Source organism: Homo sapiens, chromosome 5 (assembly GCF_000001405.40).
Source record: "Homo sapiens chromosome 5, GRCh38.p14 Primary Assembly".
NCBI lineage: Eukaryota > Metazoa > Chordata > Mammalia > Primates > Hominidae > Homo > Homo sapiens.
Genome location: NC_000005.10, coordinates 140,113,993 through 140,131,489, shown reverse-complemented (window position 1 = coordinate 140,131,489; position 17,497 = coordinate 140,113,993). Strand labels below are relative to the sequence as shown.

The 17,497-nt window shown below is 37.3% G+C and overlaps 2 protein-coding genes across 2 annotated transcripts, besides 3 other annotated features; both read right to left on the bottom strand.

The window, feature by feature from the left end:
- Positions 1-2,097: 2,097 nt before the first annotated feature.
- IGIP (IgA inducing protein) lies at positions 2,098-5,553 on the bottom strand. Its single transcript, NM_001007189.2, has one exon. It carries the CDS (start codon positions 3,011-3,013, stop codon positions 2,852-2,854), a length of 162 nt encoding a protein of 53 aa, NP_001007190.1. The 5' UTR covers positions 3,014-5,553; the 3' UTR covers positions 2,098-2,851.
- A 317-nt stretch (positions 5,554-5,870) lies between these two features.
- Positions 5,871-17,381, bottom strand: PURA (purine rich element binding protein A). The gene has a single exon (NM_005859.5). The coding sequence runs from the start codon at positions 17,306-17,308 to the stop codon at positions 16,340-16,342; it is 969 nt and encodes a 322-aa protein (NP_005850.1). The 5' UTR covers positions 17,309-17,381; the 3' UTR covers positions 5,871-16,339.
- Positions 16,214-16,851: an enhancer, noted in NCBI's record as "H3K27ac-H3K4me1 hESC enhancer chr5:139494224-139494861 (GRCh37/hg19 assembly coordinates)". NCBI's record gives its function as "activates a minimal SCP1, AML or CMV promoter by ChIP-STARR-seq in primed H9 embryonic stem cells {active_cell/tissue: H9 hESC(primed)}" and the evidence as "EXISTENCE:reporter gene assay evidence [ECO:0000049][PMID:30033119]".
- Positions 16,334-16,833: an enhancer, noted in NCBI's record as "active region_23261". NCBI's record gives its function as "activates an Ori minimal core promoter by ATAC-STARR-seq in GM12878 lymphoblastoid cells {active_cell/tissue: GM12878}" and the evidence as "EXISTENCE:reporter gene assay evidence [ECO:0000049][PMID:35858748]".
- Positions 16,864-16,933: an enhancer, noted in NCBI's record as "active region_23260". NCBI's record gives its function as "activates an Ori minimal core promoter by ATAC-STARR-seq in GM12878 lymphoblastoid cells {active_cell/tissue: GM12878}" and the evidence as "EXISTENCE:reporter gene assay evidence [ECO:0000049][PMID:35858748]".

Sequence of the window (17,497 nt, the reverse complement as noted above, 5' to 3'; positions counted from 1 at the left end):
CTACGATGGTGGGGTTAACTAGACACCCCTGCTGGCTGTAAGGTAATGATATCCTATTCTTTTAAGCCTTGCAACATTCAGTGAGTCTGTTTTGTGACATTTTCTCACTGCCAACCTAAGTGCCAAATAGCCTGATGTGAGGAAATCGAAGTGAATGAAAATCAATATTGGTAGGAAAATTGTATCAATGTCATTGGAAACACTCTGAAGATTTGCAATATTTAGGTAGAATCCCCAGTTTCAGGGGAAAAACTGTGGCTCCTCCTCCTGAAGTTCTAGAAGGCAGGGCGGGGGTGGGGTGGGGTTGCTGAAGTGAGAACAGTGGAGGTGTGTGCCGGCCCTGAGGTGACCTAGGAGGCAAACACTGAAAAGAGAACTCTCTTTCCTCTCGTCCTGAAAGAGCAGGACCTCTTCCAAAACTCAGTACCCAAGATAAAACAGTCCTGACTGCTTAGAAATAAATTGTTACTGAGACTAGGAACAAAGGATTTCTAAAAGCCATGCAAAATACCAAAATAAATGATATACCACATGGTTAAATGAAAGTTAACATCCATTGGAGGTGGATGTAGGAAGAGACCACCAATTACATCTTAGAAAAGAAAGACTGAAGAAAAATGACAAATAGTTCTGTTTGAGCATGCTGGGTTCCTTTCTTGAGGGGCTCCCCATGGCCCTACCAGCATTGCCGTGTAGTTCCGACCTGGCTGTCTGGGATGCTCCTCCTGTAGCCCTTCAGTAGGACCTCACCTCGGGGCCTCTTGCTGTCCAACTGACCATTGGGCATATTTAATCATGGTCCTTTCGGAGTCTTTAAAAGATGAAGGGCCTGACTCCTGACTTTTCACTCCCTTATACTTGCTGGGAGTAAATCATGGCTGGAATTTCCACCACAACCTCCTGTGCTTGAGTCCTTCTCTCGGACAGGGACCCAAGGATTTATCTGATCTCTGCAGAGAAGAGAGCAGAATCTGGTCTCTTCTTCAGGAAGTAGCCACCTGTCTTCTGTGTGTACCCCCCAAATCAGAGGCACCCTAGAACTTAGGGAAACTGAAGTTTCTTAGGCATCCCACCTACCTCTCTACAACAGTGGCACTCTCAGCTTTCAGTTTTCAGAAAGCAAAGTTTCTCCATTATTTTTATTGAAGTTGGTGGTTGTCATATGTGGAAGCTAGTTCATCCTTCTGTTCACTCCAAAGTAGCGCCTTTTTATTTTATTTACTTATTTTTTCTTTTTTGAGACAGAGTTTCGCTCTGTCACCCAGGCTGGAGTGCAGTGGTGCAATCTCGGCTCACTGCAATGTCTAACTCCCAGGTTCAAGCAATTCTCATGCCTCACCCTCCCAAGTAGCTGGGACTAGAGGTGTGCACTACCGTCCAGCTAATTTTTGTATTTTTTAGTAGAGACGGGGTTTCACCATGTTGGCCAAGCTGGTCAACTCCTGACCTCCAGTGATCCGCCCACCTAGGCCTCCCAAAGTGCTGGTATTACAGGTCTCAGCCACCATGCCCAGCCAAGGAGGGCCTTTTTAGCAAGAAAACAACAAAACAATACTCATAATGAACTCTCTTGGGATTCCCCCAGAGAAGCCTGGAACTGCAGTAATGTGAACTTGAGATGGCCTATGGACATGCATCAAGTTTTAGAATATAACTGCTGTCGTATATACTTAAGTAAATTGAGAGATTTTTCATAGTGTGATTTTTGCCAGGTATCTTGGAGAACTACTTGCTCCAGGCATTCCTCATATCCAGCCTGAAGGTAAGTGAAAACATAAAAAAAAGATAAAATAAAAGGAGAAAGCTACAAATAAAACTTCAAACTCTACTTAAAAAGGTTGAGGAAAATATATACCTGAGGCTTCTGAGGCCTTTGTTGGTTTTTAAGTTAGAGGTCAAAATGGGTGGTTCTTGTTGGTCAGATAATCTACTTTTCTAGAAGGCCCCATTGAAACTATCCTGAGGGATGGCTCCTGTGTCTTGTTTTTATTGGTAGCTTCATTCACTGTCTGCCATTCCACTCACTAGAAAAACAGTTTTGAAAGAGATTTTAAACCGCAACCTCTATTTTCTAAGTGTTCAACAGCACAATAGGGCAACTATTAAAAATAATTTATTATATATTTCAAATAACTAAGAGTGGAATTAGAATGTTCCTAAAACGAAGAAATTATACATACTTCAGGTGATGGATACCCCAATCATCCTGATTTAATCAGTACATTGTACGCTTGTTTCAAAATGTTACATGTACCCCATAAGTATGTATAACTAGTATGTATCCATGATAATTACATTTTTTTTATTGTAACTGACAGAAAACAAAAAACCTTCCATGAGAATGGAGCATGATCTTTGGGAAAAGGTTTCCCTTCTCTTCAACATGATGGCTAGGTTCACTGTCATACCACCAGAGAATTTTTTAAATGACCCAGTATGCCAGGATAGGGAGGCCATTCACATAACATTTTTAAAAATAAGCAAACCTACCTTAAAATAAAATAGAAGATAGAGTTCTCTAGTATGAGAGCACACTTAATGCTTGCAGCCAATTCATAAGCATAAGTATACCTGCTACTGAGTCCTAAAAAGTTTCCACCTATCAAAAAAAAAAAAAATCCAAGATCGCAACCAGACCCCTTCCCCCAAAAAGCACTGAAACAAAAGACTGATCTGATTATACAGTCACATGAAAAATAAACATCTTTATTTTTTTGCCTACTTTATTTCATTTTTTCAAATAAAATTTAAATCTGTACAAAGTATACTGTTACAGTATATATTTTGTAAGAATCAATGCCTAAAATAATCACAATACTTCAATAAGCAGTACAGCAGACCTCGCTAGTTTTCAGCTTTGATATTGAACAAACTCAAGCCGGCTGATGCACAACACGTTTGCTTGGTTTCCACATGGTGATTTCCCAGCACTGAGATGGGAGAACATGACAGCAAATATGGTAATATTACAGCCCGACACACTGCGTTTCTTCATGTGATAATAACTGCACATATTTAATACAGAATGCTCAAATTTACTTTTTAAATTGCATTTGCTTACTTCTTAGTTGGCAAAATTCAGCATTCTTAAATGGGGTCCCCAAACAGTGCAAATTAATGATATTCTAACTGTATATTGGCACATCTCCAATAAGGATTAACTTGTAAACTCAAAGAATATCAACAACTTAGTCCTAAATTTTAACTAATATACATCTGGTCCATTTAACCAAAGTCATTTTGGAAAGATATTAAAGAACAATTCTATTTCTGAAAGGATATTGTTTTGACCATTCTTTAGAGAAGATAAATTTTTAAATTGTCATTAAAATGTTTCACTATAAAAATTTTACAAACTTGATTAGAAATTTCAAGATTATGATTCACAGCAGACAAATACAAACTGTATATTCCAACAATACCTATTCTTAGACTTTCAAACAGAGCACAACCATGTCAGCTGTGTTAACTAAAATTCTGAACAGTGTACTAAATTTATAAGTGGTGCTGGGTCTAGCAAGTGTAAATACACAGTATATTTCAATGAAAAGAATTGTCTTCTTTATACTTTATTTGTTTTCCCATAAGGAAACATTAATGTTTACATTCTTTAATAAAGTTAATCTTACATCAGAATATAACTTAATACTGTCAGCAACAGGGACCACACACAGTAAATAAGAAGCACATTTAAAATAAGTCTGATTTCACATAGATTAACATTTGTTGGTTAATAAAATATCGACAGTATTACAATCTTACAATATTTACAGTAAGAAAAATCTAGAGTAATATATACCTTTCACAGCAGGATTCCTTTTTTTAAAATTTCTTCCAGTTTGGGATTGTGTATACACAAAAAGCTCAAAATAAAGCAACTCTGCAATATAATCTTAAAATAATGGCTACTGGGGGAAATTCTATCACAACCATTGAAAATAATGGTGACTTCTCACGGAGTCTGTGGCATCTGAGAACCCAGTTAATTAACCAAAGTCTTGCTCATATTAGCCTCAGTTACCCAGATTAAAGCAGAACTCCGGCCTTCCCTGACTGCTGAAAACCCAACAGATTTTCTCAACATGCTATAAGGAAAGAGGAAAAATTGGTTTCAGCTCACACCTCATGGCTGGAAGCCTCTGGAAGCCTCCAGCCAGTGCACACTCCCCAACTTATGCTAAAAGAGGGCCAATTTCATCCCCACAGCATCACAAGAGTCCACCCTCCAACCACACAGTGCTCTGACACCAAGCTCACCCATTCCTCAACTCTTGTGCCTTAGGATAACACATGAACTTAGCCCACATAATACACACCAGCGTCTTAGAGACTTGAGACCAGGGCAAAGAAACAGACTAGTGTAGTTTGCACTGAGATCAGTAAGAAAAATGGGAAGTGATGCACATTTCCAATTAGAATGACAAGAAGAAGACCCACATCCCTAAACTGGAATTTGGCCAGGGCATCAGAGTTAGCACCCCCTCTCTGAGTACCGCTAGCGATTAGGATGTGTGCTCTGGGCCTCCTCTAAAAGAGAGCATCTACAGTAAGTAACACAGTATGGGACATTAGTTCAGTGACGACTGCCAAGAAAGCAGATACAATTCTTGAATCTGGGGCTGTCTACGGCACCTGAGGTCAATCATCCAAGCTGTGACCTGTCCCAACCCTGCTTACTTTAAGATATCTGATGGGCACAGAGCACTCAGGGATATGGCTGCTGGCTACTTTGGACTCTAGATCTCACAGGTAATCAACAGGTATCTGGGATTGAATTAGCAAACTGTACCATAGCTCCTTAAACAGACATTGTCAAGTCTGAAATCATGTCAAGCATGAATCTTCACTGTCAGGTCAGTAATCAAAGTGGGAGTCTTCCCACATCAGCCAAGGTTATTTTGTCAGAACCTTAGAGGAGTTGGACAGTTTTTCATGTTGCAAGTGATTGGTTTACTTATTTCAGTCAAGCTGGATTGGCAAACCAGACTGATTTATTTAGTGAGCTTTGTTTTTTTGATTCTTATGTGTGTGCTAACCCAAAGCTGTTGTATTTGGGCTAAATACACTGACAGAGAAAATTCAAACGACAAAAGTTTTCAGCAAACTTCTGTGGCATTTTTTCTTTTTGGAAGTAAATGCAAGATCTAAAGGTATTTCTACCCAACAACGTCTGTTTAAGTGTTTAATGTTATTTCCTTTTTGGTCCTATACAGAATGCTATGACTTCTATATAGGTCTGAATGCTGCTCCATGTAGATTCCTTCTGTATATCTAAAAATATATACTTTTCAGTAGTTCAATACATGGTTAATCTTCCCACAGAGGAAGATTTTTGTAATCACATGTTGCAAAGTAGAAAACATCTCCTTTCTAAGAAAGGAAATATACTTTCCTATTGTACACTTTTGAATAAGCCCAAAGGCATGCACCAAAAATCATTAATAAAACTAATACATGCAATAAAATGGTGTAGAGTTAGACTTAAAGTGCTGCTTCTCAATTTTTTTTAATTTGAAGAAGACATTTTGTCAGTTGTAGACTCAAAAATCTTTCCCCCACCCACCCTCCCCACCCCATGGCATTAAGAGAGAAAAGTAAAAAGTATGCATAAATCTTTTAACTATGCTTTACATGGGGGAAAGAACAGATGTATCAACTATCCTATATATCAACTGGATTCCCAGTTTTAAATAAAACCAATATTTACTGGTAAAAATTGTCAAAGCGAATACACGCAAACAAATGTTACTAGTAAATAAATGTTCTACATAGAGAATAATTTACTTTGGTTTTATGCGCCTTCTCAAAAATAACACTAGTGTCCCAACGTCACCAAACTGATGTGTTCCAGCAAAGTTGTAAGGCAAATCTTTTTTTCCCTAGTGACATCTTGTTTCCCAACAGACAAAACTAAAATCTTTTGGTGAGGAAGGGGTTAAGATAATGGCTAACCCCTTGGCATCCTGAGCATTGTGGTTTATCAAACTCTACCCTGCTAGAAATTGTCAGGCACCCTGACCCCTGCCTTGAACCAGGAAGGCTCCCATGTCTAGAGATGCCCTGACTCCTTATAAATAGCTTTCAGAACTTTGCTTTTTTCCCTTCTCTCTGGTTGTTATAATGTCTAACGAAGCTGGTTGCAATGTCACATTTTGCTAGTAGGGGCCACCATCTAACAATAATTCCAATATGAAAGGTTTTAAGCCAATAGTTGGTTCCTAATTTTATCAACGATTTGCACTAAAATTCTCTACAATTTACTTAGAGCAGAGATCTTTAACTTGGGTTTCAGAAGATGTGTGATGCCCCTGAAGTTGTATGCAAAATTATCCAGGGATGGGCATTTTTTTTTTCTTGGGTAGAGGATCCATCACACTGTCATCAGATTATCAAAGATATCTGTGACCCCCAAAAAGGGTTATAGGGACTTAGAGGGATACCCGTAATTCATTTTATACCAGGACTGGGAAATGGGGGCAGAAAACTAAAAATGGCCTCGAAAAAGGCCAGGGACAAATTGCTGATCTTTTCCCTTTATTCACATTGGGAAAATAAGTGCTTCAAACTGGAAAAATCATTAATTAAGCTGGTTAAACTCCATTAAAAAATAATCAAATCGCTTTCTAAATTTTTTTCATTTTCGATATGTGGTAAATTTTGTCTCCAAGAAAAGGTTTGGAGACTGAATTTTTCTCTTTTCCTAAAGGAAATTCATAGATAGAATGCTGAATATCATCCACATTTAAAGATTTGACAACATAAAAGTTAGATAACTCTTAATGATGTGAATCTTTAACTTATGATTTTGAGTAAAGGATTATCTAGAATCAAATATACACTTATTAATCTTCATTTCCCAAAATTGGTCCATATTTAGACAACTACCTGGCACAATTTCACTAGATAAACCTAAAATCTGAACAATGGAAGTTAAACTTCTACCCAAAGTAAAAACAAAGCCATAAGATTCCACAATTGAATTGGCCACAAACATTCACACTATGTTATAAAGGACTTTCTCATTTCAAATACATCACTGAATGTTCAACAGAATTTGCAAACATAAGATCCAGAATGACTAGCAAAACATGCTAAGAGCATGTCAAAAAGTAAAACACCACCTCTCCCCCCCCAATCTGGAAACACACTCAGGCATTCCAAAAATAAACCAGATCTGAAAAGAGGCCTCTCACTTGGTTTTAAGTATGAGGTGTGTACAAAGCTATGGGAAAGGGAATATAAAATGAAATAACCAAATAACTTACAAAAAATAATTTTAGCCAAAAACACATCTCTCTGTTCCATTGATAAAACTATCAATTTTTAAATTTTTTTGCAATTCTGAACACTGTGTTGCATAATATCACCAAGACAAAAAATATGTTCACAGGTACACTTTTTGTTATTTTCTTTCTAGAGCACATCTTTGAGGTCATAAGACCGCATCTGGTTAAAATAAAGTCTCTTGCCCTTGCTTCCCTTCCCCCTCAAAGTGATTCAACCCTGAATTCCAAAAAGGAATATTCAATATAACAACTTGAAAACCAGTTGTAACACTTAGACCATAAGGAAACTATATGAACATTATGGAAAACTACATGAAAGAGGGAGCTGCCACTTGCCACCCACTTCACTTCCAGCTTTTTAAGCATGTACCCAGCTAGACTCCTATCTCACTGACTTCAGTGAAACAAACTAACACACCAAATCTAGGCCATCTCAGGCTGGAAGTTAAAACTCGAAGACATCATTTCATATACACATACATATATATTCCCTATCCTAAGCTTTAACTTTGTCTATTTAAACAGTTTAATAAAGCTCACATTTACAAAGGATTTTATTGGCAAATAAAGGCCCATATTAAAAATTTTATCAGAACAAATTTTTGTTTTATACAGCTAACATTAAGAAATATTTTCTTGGCCTTATAAAATATTTTTAATTGCATATAATTTTTGCTTTGGGTGGAATATTGAAAACACAATTCTGCAAGAAATTAGAAAAGACTAGAAACAAAAGTGAAAGTGACTAGCCTTAACTTTCAAAAAATCAAGTGCAAAGATAAATAGTGCAAATAATGAAAACTAGAAATTTTACAGGCAACTTTAGTCTTTCCTGCTTTTGCACTTTTACACATTGACAACTTTATAAACCCTAACAACTATATGCAGCATGGAAATGGGCTATCATTTATCTCCACTGACTAGACTTAAGCCTTTCAAGGACTTGTCTCACAGTCATTTAAATCACAAGTTCTTGACACAGGTTTGGGAATTCACTTCTTTTTAAACAAATTTCTAAGGGAGGGGCTATTTAAGAAGGCTTTGCATTGACTTAAATGAGTTATAGTATATAACTATTATAATTTAAAATCTGACACAATAAAATGTGAAAATTATACTAAAGTGCCAACTCTACAAAATAAGCTATAGTAAAAATAATCCTGCTATTGTTAATGAACCTGACATTCGTAAAAAAGAAAAATTACCTTCAAAGTACAAAATCAGAACCACTTTTTTGCTATTTTTAAAAGAGATTTTTATCACTAATATATAGAGATGTGAGTAAAATGAAACTTCAAAGTAATCTGTCCAAATCACCAGGAATAAATCCATACTAAATTTGACAACAAAGAGTTAATCCAAACATACTTGAATTATGTAACTTAAAAACAAACATTACAGTAATTATTTATCTTAAATAATTTAAAACACTACTGGAATAATGGGAACAGAAATCTAAACACTATCAGCTTACCCTACAAAGGATATAAGAACCTCCAAAATGTACTAACTTATTTTATTAACATTTGCCACCACTGAACTCTTGGGAATACTACAATTTTAAAGTAAGAGAGAAAGTAGGGAAACAGAAACATGAGTTTGGGGGGTATGTTGTCTAATTTTAGAAATACAGTATTATTGAGGGCCTCATAAGGTCTACAAGGTTAAATGGTTGCTACGGATGCAAATGTAAAAGAAATAAAAAAGACACCTAAAATTGCAAGTTAGTGTTTTTACCTGGTTTATTGTCTTCTAAGAAATTTGTGTGGGCCAAAGTCTCAAAATTCTATAAAAGCAAGGAATAATATGTGTCTTTGTGGAGTACAAAATCAAATAATTTGATCTAAGGACCATTTGAAAAGTAAAGGTAAACTACATTGTAACAAGAGCCCAAGAAAATAGATAGTATGTGTGATAAATATTTCTGATAGTTTAAAAAGAATAATGGTGAAAAGCTTGAAATTTTCTTTTCCTCAAAATAATAACTCCCCAGCATCCACTTGCCTTGACCAGAAAAGCTGTCATTCCACAATTGTGCTAATTTGTCCCAGAAAAGCAGACATCCTATACATGAAAACAGACTTGTATAATGCATGATCATTATCATAACTCTAGCTATAGTAACTAACAGCTTTCTCATAATCAATGAGGGACCCATTTTCTCTGGCTTTATTGAAACTTCCTTAGTGAAGATCAACTTCATTTCCTTAGCAAATAACTCTCATTCGGACTCCATCATAGTACCTTTTCCTACCTCTAGTAAAAATTCCTCTCACTTTATTTCCAAACCATTCTCTATATACCTCTCAAACCCCCATCCACAAACACATTAAACAGCTCTCCTCGTCCTACTCTCCAATTTCCAAACCAGTAAGTCTCAGTTCCCAGTAACTTACCTAAAATACACATACTTCTTACTCTCTTCAGTTCACAAGTTTCTTAACATTAATTTAGATACCTTCAAACTGCCAGCTTAAGACTATGGGGAAAATAGCAATCAGAAAAAAACTGCCCAGTTACCTCATAATACTGAAATTGTTCTGGATCATCAGTTAGCTATGTTCTAAGGCAGGAGTCAGAAATTTCTTTACTTCTCTCTGAAGAAGTAAGCTTGAGTGCCACTGGTAGGCCTACAGCAAGAGTAAAAGTGGAGAGAGAAACAAAGAAAAAGGATAGGAGAGAGAAGATGCCAGATGTACATGGTAAGGAGGTAGGTCAAGTACCACCACCAACTACCTGCATTTAAAATTGCCAATCCACTCCAGCTGAATGGGAGTTTGACCCAAACTCAACATGTGTCTGATAAGTCATTAGCTGATGGCTATCATTGTTTGAGCTAGTCAAGATGAATAGGTAATTCACCTGTCCCATAACTTTAACTGCCACTTCACGATAAGGACATATTTTCTTAAATCCTCCTAGGATCCTTCTGTGTTAATAATCTACCTTAGACCAAAACACACACTAACAAGAGTATTTCCATGTTTTTCACAATTCTAAAATAGAAGGACTTGGTCCTTGAACTTGGAGGCCTCTTGAATTATTAAAGTGGAACCAAAATCAAGAAAATTAAACTCTTTAGCTTAAACATTTTTCCATCTAATGCTACAAAATAAGCTAATTGCTAATAATTATCAAAACAATGTGTGTATTTATGAAAACATGAAAATCCTGTGATTCCAAAATGAGTGAAATACTTCTGATGTGTAAGAAGCAACTATATTTTACATAGAGGATCACCACCATGTTTCTGCCTATCAACAGGACAATCTTCCACAAAAGCAAAGGACATCAGGAAGGAAAAACACAAAACAAAACAAATACCAAACGTGGGGACAAAATAAAAATGAATGAGTAGTTATGACATTCTTGTTAAGAAAAATGTTAACAAGTGACCTTTGCCACACTCAGCTTTCCTAAAGACATAAATTGCCTGGACCATTCAACATCAAAACTTGGTAGTTAGCTTAGCAGATTCATTGGCTTGAAACCAATCATTATTTCTTATTTCATCTGGTTGTTCTTTTATCATGAAATTCTACCTGACTCATGCTAATTCTGGCTTATTTTCACTTAGCCTGTAATGAAATTTCTGTTCAAAAAGGACGTGTCAAATGGCCTATACCTTAAATTTAGGTTTTCAGGATCAAATAACTTCTTAAATATTAATATTAAAATCAGCTTTTCTTAATATATCACAAAATCTGCAAAGAAGATTCTATAATAATTCGTGAATAGCAGTGATCACTTTAGTTTTATAGCATACTTATGAATGGCCAAAATTTGGTTAATATGCAATGAAGAAAACAGAAATATTGTGATTTAAAAATTGATACACTTTAACAAATCTACACAAATAACTTTGGTGAATTTATCTATGTAAGCAATTCCAATAAATTATCTCTCCTACTTATTCCACTCTCAAGGAGATGTGTGTATCTATATACATATACACACACACAATGTATATATACATATATATGTGTATGTGTGTGTATACATCTCTCTCCAAATTATGAAGATATTCAAATTTAGGGATAATAAACTATAAATGTTATACTCAGAGTCATCACCAACTATTCCAAACCTAAGTTGCTACAGATGCCCTTGTTTTAGCATCCTTTTACATAGATAGCAAGGTCTCATTCTGATACTCAAAAGATTTTAAAAAGGGAAAAAAGTCATTAGACTTGGTATCTCACTTTTTATGGTGAAGAAAATCTTAAAATTATGTTCACATGTAAAATAAAATGAATTGTGGAGCTATGAAAGCTACTAGACCATCAATTTCAGATAGCCCCATTCTAAAATTATCTGGAAATGTGTGTGTATATATAACCTGAAAAAATGAGTGGGAATATTGTAGACAAGAAGGTGAACCATGTGTGGAAGATAAAAATAATCATGCCCATATGGTGGGGTCACCAGGTCTAGCAGATAACCCAAAATGTCATAAAAGAAAAATGTGTTTAGAAAGTTTGAACAGGGCCAAAACACAAAATGTTAAAAGCACACAAACAAAAATGAATGAGATAATCCCCCCAAACGTCAAGTTACATAAGAAAATAGGAAGAAAAAAGTTGACATAGTATCTTTTAAAATATATCAAATCTTAACTGACTTAAAAAATGATATAAAGTGCTTGGGCCATGATACCCACCCAGATTCTCATTATCAACGGATTTATCTTTTCCCCCTCCCTTCCACCCAAATTTAATTCAGTTTTCCTTAAGAAAAAGTACAGCATCCCTATATTAATAAGAAATGAAAACAGTGAGTACAACTGATATAGATCCATTGACTTTTATTACAAATGTACTTGATCACTTGGCTTCAAAAAGTTTAAAATCAATACCCTATTTTCTGTATGCCAGTACAAAGCAAACTGTTTTACAAATTAAATACCTAAAAATTTGACAAAAATATTAAAATTTGATGAAAAACAATTATAAAAATCCTTAATCTCTCTCTTCAAAAAAGGAGGCAGTCTTCCCACTCCTATTATACAATATTAATAATATTCACCATTTTTAGAATAGGTAGCTAAATTATATCTTTCTGTTAGCATACAAAACTTAGACTAATATATTTGTATATGCTCCAGTTAAGTTTGTGAATGCCATCTGATTGCAATATAATCAACTATCTTTAATTGAATCCTAATTTACACTTATTTAATAATTTGCATAGTTTGAAAGGGATAAAGGTTATTCTACAACTAATTATCATAGGCTATTACAGTGCTACTTTTCAAGGCAATAAGTATTTGCTCCCAAATGAAGTATATGTCTTCTTTAGGCAGGGGTTAAAATTACTAGCAGCTTTCTCTATTACCTGAAAAATCAAATTGGAAGTTATCCATCTCTCTAGATGTGAAGGCCTGAAAAAACATAATATACTTTCCGCTTGGAATCAAATTTCAACCCCTGCATGGGACAACTAGAAAGTGAGACTTTCAAGGTTTTTTATTTCCCTGTTGGTTTTGGTTTCTACTCTCCATGGCTTTTTGAGAAGCTGGAAAACAGTTTGTCTTTTCTGACTAGCATTGTCTTTTTTTCCATTTGGCAAATATTCATCTACCTCCAATCTGTATCTAGTAGAGGAAAAGCCGACATGGCTTTTCTTATGAACTTCCTTTGTTGTCAAAGGCATGTATAATGATTTCTACAGTTCTGGTTAGTTAACTTTAGCTCCCTCTGTGGCTGGATGACTGCTGCTTCTAACATCAGCATGATAAATAGGAGGCACAAATAAAAAGTAGCTTAAAAAAAATTTGGTGATTTAAAAGAAAAAAACAACTCCAAACACACACACATACATAAGCATTTCAAATCTGGTGGCTGATCTCTGGATTAAATTACTTGACAGTGTCTCTCATTTTAAAGAACGTCAATATTGCAATGCAGTTCAAGTTTTCTTTTATACTTAGGCAAATAATACAGTTTAACCAAGCTCTTGGACCTTAATTGTAAGACAAAGCAGATCAATAAAAATAAGGCATACTTCTCAGGAATTAAGTTTTGTTTGCTTGTTTTTGGCACATTTGATCATACTGTCTTCTATGAATAACACATATGGTCAAATATACCATTTCCTTATTTGTTTCAGCATAAACAGGGTTTACCAACTAGTAAAATAAAAACAAGGAAAAATTCCAACATAAAACACTGATATATAGAAACTAGGTAAAGTACCGAGCACCTGGGAGGGAAGGGTAGGGAAAGGATGCAACAGAAGAGGGAAGACAAGGTTTGGGAGGGTGCTTGGGGAGGTAAAGTGAGATGCTTAAAAAAAGAGCATCTTTACAGTCACTTAGTCTTTTCTATGATCACTTTTTAAGTCTTAAAAGATCTGCATGTGGATTTCTTTTTAAACCCACTGACCATAAATCAGACACTGGTTTCAAAATCGTAGTTAGATTGTATTAAACTGTTTTAGTGTAAAGACAATTAATTGCACAATACATGTGCTTCTTGAGCCGGTGGGATTCCAAGCAGAATCTGAAGTCTATAGATAAGAAAGGCTTCACTTTAGGTAACTCTGGCCCTAAAGAAAACCTCATGAAAGAACTCGCATCTCAAAGAAAGGACACTTTGCCTAAGTTTGCTGTGTTTTTGTTGACTTGCACTACTTATTGCTGGCTACTATGAAACAGTGATCTAGGAGTACTCCAACAACCTGTAGTACAAGGCTTAACTTTAAGAAGCTATAGTAAACAAGAGACAAAATCAAAGCAATTCTCTTTCCTAATTAGTAACAGCACAGAGAATGCAGTCTTTTCCATATCACAGTTAAAGTACAGTGAACAAAACAGCTCAACAAACCTTAAGACAAAAAAGTGCAGGTTATTAATGTTTACATGCAGTTGATAAGCATTCCAAATGTCACATTATGCACTGTAAAAGCTCAACTTTACTATATGGAAATAAGAAAAATGCACCTCTGGGGAGGGGGAAAAGCAATTTAATCATTTCCAGTGATTTTGTAAGTAAAGAAACTCCTAACTACTGTACGGTCACCTCATATTTAACATTGAATATTAAAAGCAAACAATTTAATGGGAAAATGCACAGTACAATGAAAATAGCTTGTTATTCAACACATACAGTAGATCTCAAAAACGAAGACAACACACTCAACCAGGGAGCATAAAAATATCAAATCAAAACCCAAAGGACCAGCAGAAAAAAATCCTTCAAAAAGACAACTGTTTGCCTTCCTAGGCCAATGCTTTACAATATAAGAAGCACTGATACCTTCCCGCTCCTACAGGTGGTGTCTTATACATACAGCAGTTAGATCTATATGGCTGGATTTGCCAAGAAACAATTCCATCCCCAGAACTCTCTGTCAGACAAGACCCTTTTTTTTTTTTTTTTTTTTTACCAAAATACTTTCTACAGAATTCCAAACCAAAATGTACTGTTTAAGGCATCTTTTTTATAACATTTTCTCTTCACTCAAAGATGATAGTCATGCAGCAGTTTAATGATAAAAATATATTAATATTTTACTATACAGCAGCAAGAAGTTAGTTGTCAATTAAAAGCACACAAACATCTTTAAAGGAAAACCTGTAAAAGACTATCGTTACAAACAATTTCAGTTTGGAGGACACCAGCTTGGTAAAGTGCTCTCCTAAACTTTGCATTTTCATACCCTACACCTTGAATATATGAGTTATAGAACATACTTTTGATAGAAGGCTTGTACACTTGGGGAACACAAATACACTTAGCATATAATGTAGCCAGTAATAACTAGCACCACAGCTACATGGAAATCCTTTACATACACCAACTTGGCTTTCACTTTTAAAACAAAACTCAGAATCCATGGCTCAGTAGGATAACTATAATTGTGTTGCTCTGCTTTTTAACAGGTCTACATAAGTTAATAGCACTAGCAAAAATCAAAGAATAGCTTCAGACCTCTTACAAGTTTAGGAGACAGTGCTAGTGACCACAAATAGACTCACTACCTGATGTCCAAGTACAGGTTCACTGGAAATTGCTGCACGTTAGTTTTTTAAAATCTTTCTACACATAATAAAAAAAATATATTATGAACGATACAAGTACATCTCATATACACAATAATGACAAAACGCCTACTCAGTCAAAGCAAACAGATGCAGAAAAATATTATGGGAGATCTCCTTTTTCTTTCTTTTTCCTTTTACTATTTGAATAACTTTGGTTCCAACCATAAAAATCACAACTTAGCAAATTTCATTTAAATGCCTTTTTTAATAATTTCTTCATGTTCACAGAAGTTTCACTGACCATTTTTATAAGTTTAAGGTCCAGATGCAATGCATATTGTATAAAAGAGAGCACTTATTGTTTACCTTGCATGAATTAAACCTACGTACCTTTAACTCTACAAACTTCTGCATAACATTTAGACAAAGCTCAGACACACAGCATGCCTAGCCCTCATATATATACACATCTCTAATCACAGGTATATAGGGTGTCAAATATACTATAATAACCTCCATGTAAGGTTTGAAATTTGGTAACAAAATGAGAAAAACTAAAAATATTATTTTACGTGTTCTAAAATATCTCTTTTTTGTGCTAAAGTCAAATGTTAGCTCAACATGAAAAGGACTTTTATATAATTCAGCAATATTATAATCTTGACCATTTTGCAAACACTTTTTAATAATAATAGCTTAAACGTGTACAAAAGTTCTTGGTTAATTAGGGAAATAAACACTCAGTTCTTTATATTTTTTAATCAAGTAGGAAACACAGTTCATATAATGTTATTACTTTTTGTATTTTTTTTGTTTTTAGCAGCTGCTTACTGTTTTATATGGTGGATAAAGTGGACAACATCCAGCGATGGGTGGCAAGTCAAGAAGAGAAACTGTCAGTTGGTGGAGGTTCTGTGGGTGGTGCTCCCTTGGAGTTAACAGGTTTTTTTTTTTTTTTAACTTTTTAACTTTTTATTTTCTCTCTTTCTTTACAGTATATTTTCTGTGTGTGTGGCTGTGTGTGTGTGTGTATGCATGTGTGTGTGTGTGGGGGTTTCATTCAGTTTGATCAATCTTCTTCCCCTTCTTCCTCACCCTGCAGTAGCAGGGTGGCAGCGGCGGTCTCCTCCTGCTGCTGCTGTTGCTGCTGGTGAAGCTGCTCACAGGCAGCCCGCTTCTCCCTCTGCTTCTCTTGAATCTTCTTCATCTCCTCCGAGTACTTGCAGAAGGTGTGTCCGAACTTGGCCCACACCTTGTAGGGCACGGTGATGGAGTTGCGATAGGTGGGCTTCACCTCGCTCACTCGCATAAACACGCCGTACTTGTTGGAGCCCACATCGAAGAAGAAGCGCTTGTTGTCCACAGTCAAGGAGGTGCCCTCGGGCAGCTCGGCCGGCTCCTCCTCCACTCCGTAGTCGTCGATGAGCTTGGCCAGAGCGTCACGGAACTCGATGAGCCCCTGCGCGGGCAGCGCAATGGTCTGGCCCTGCGTGGAGCCCAGGCCAGGCCCCCGGTTGACCGTCTGGCGGATGCGCAGGAAGCGGCCGCGCTGGTTCTCCTTGAGATCCATGTAGTACTTGCGGTTCTCGCGCACCAGGAACTCGCTTTTGAGCGCCCGGCGCGGCTCGTCCTGCGCCTGGGCCAGGTCCGGCGGCTGGCTGGGGCCCAGCTGCGCGTAGTGCTCGATGAAGTCGCCCAGGTAGTCGCGGAACTCCACGGCCACTGACATGGAGAGAGTAAGGCGGCTCTTGTTGCCGCCCGCGCCCACCTCGGCGATCTTCAGGAAGCGGCCCTTGGCGTTCTGCTTCACGTCCAGGTAGAAGCGCTTGTTCTGGATGTCCACCCGCTTGGAGGCCAGCTCCTGCGTCTCGTGCTGCAGCCCCCCTGGGGCCCCGCCGCCGCCGCCGCCACTGCCGCCGCCGCCCCCGCCGCCACCACCGCCCCCGCCGGAGCCTGAGCCCGAGCCGGGGTGCCCCAGGGAGCCGCCCGAACCCAGCGCCGCACCACCCTGCTCGCTGCCGCTGTCTCGGTCCGCCATGATGCTGCGCTCCGCTGCCGCGCCGCCGCCGCCTGCCGCTCCGCCCGCCGCCTCAGTCGCCTCAGCCGCCGCTGCTTTCCCTCCCCGGCTCCGCCTGCTGCCGCCGCAACCCCCACAGCCAGTCAGCCACTCTCGCGAGATCTGCGGGAGAGACGAGACAGACGAGACCCGGTAACAGGGCACTGACTC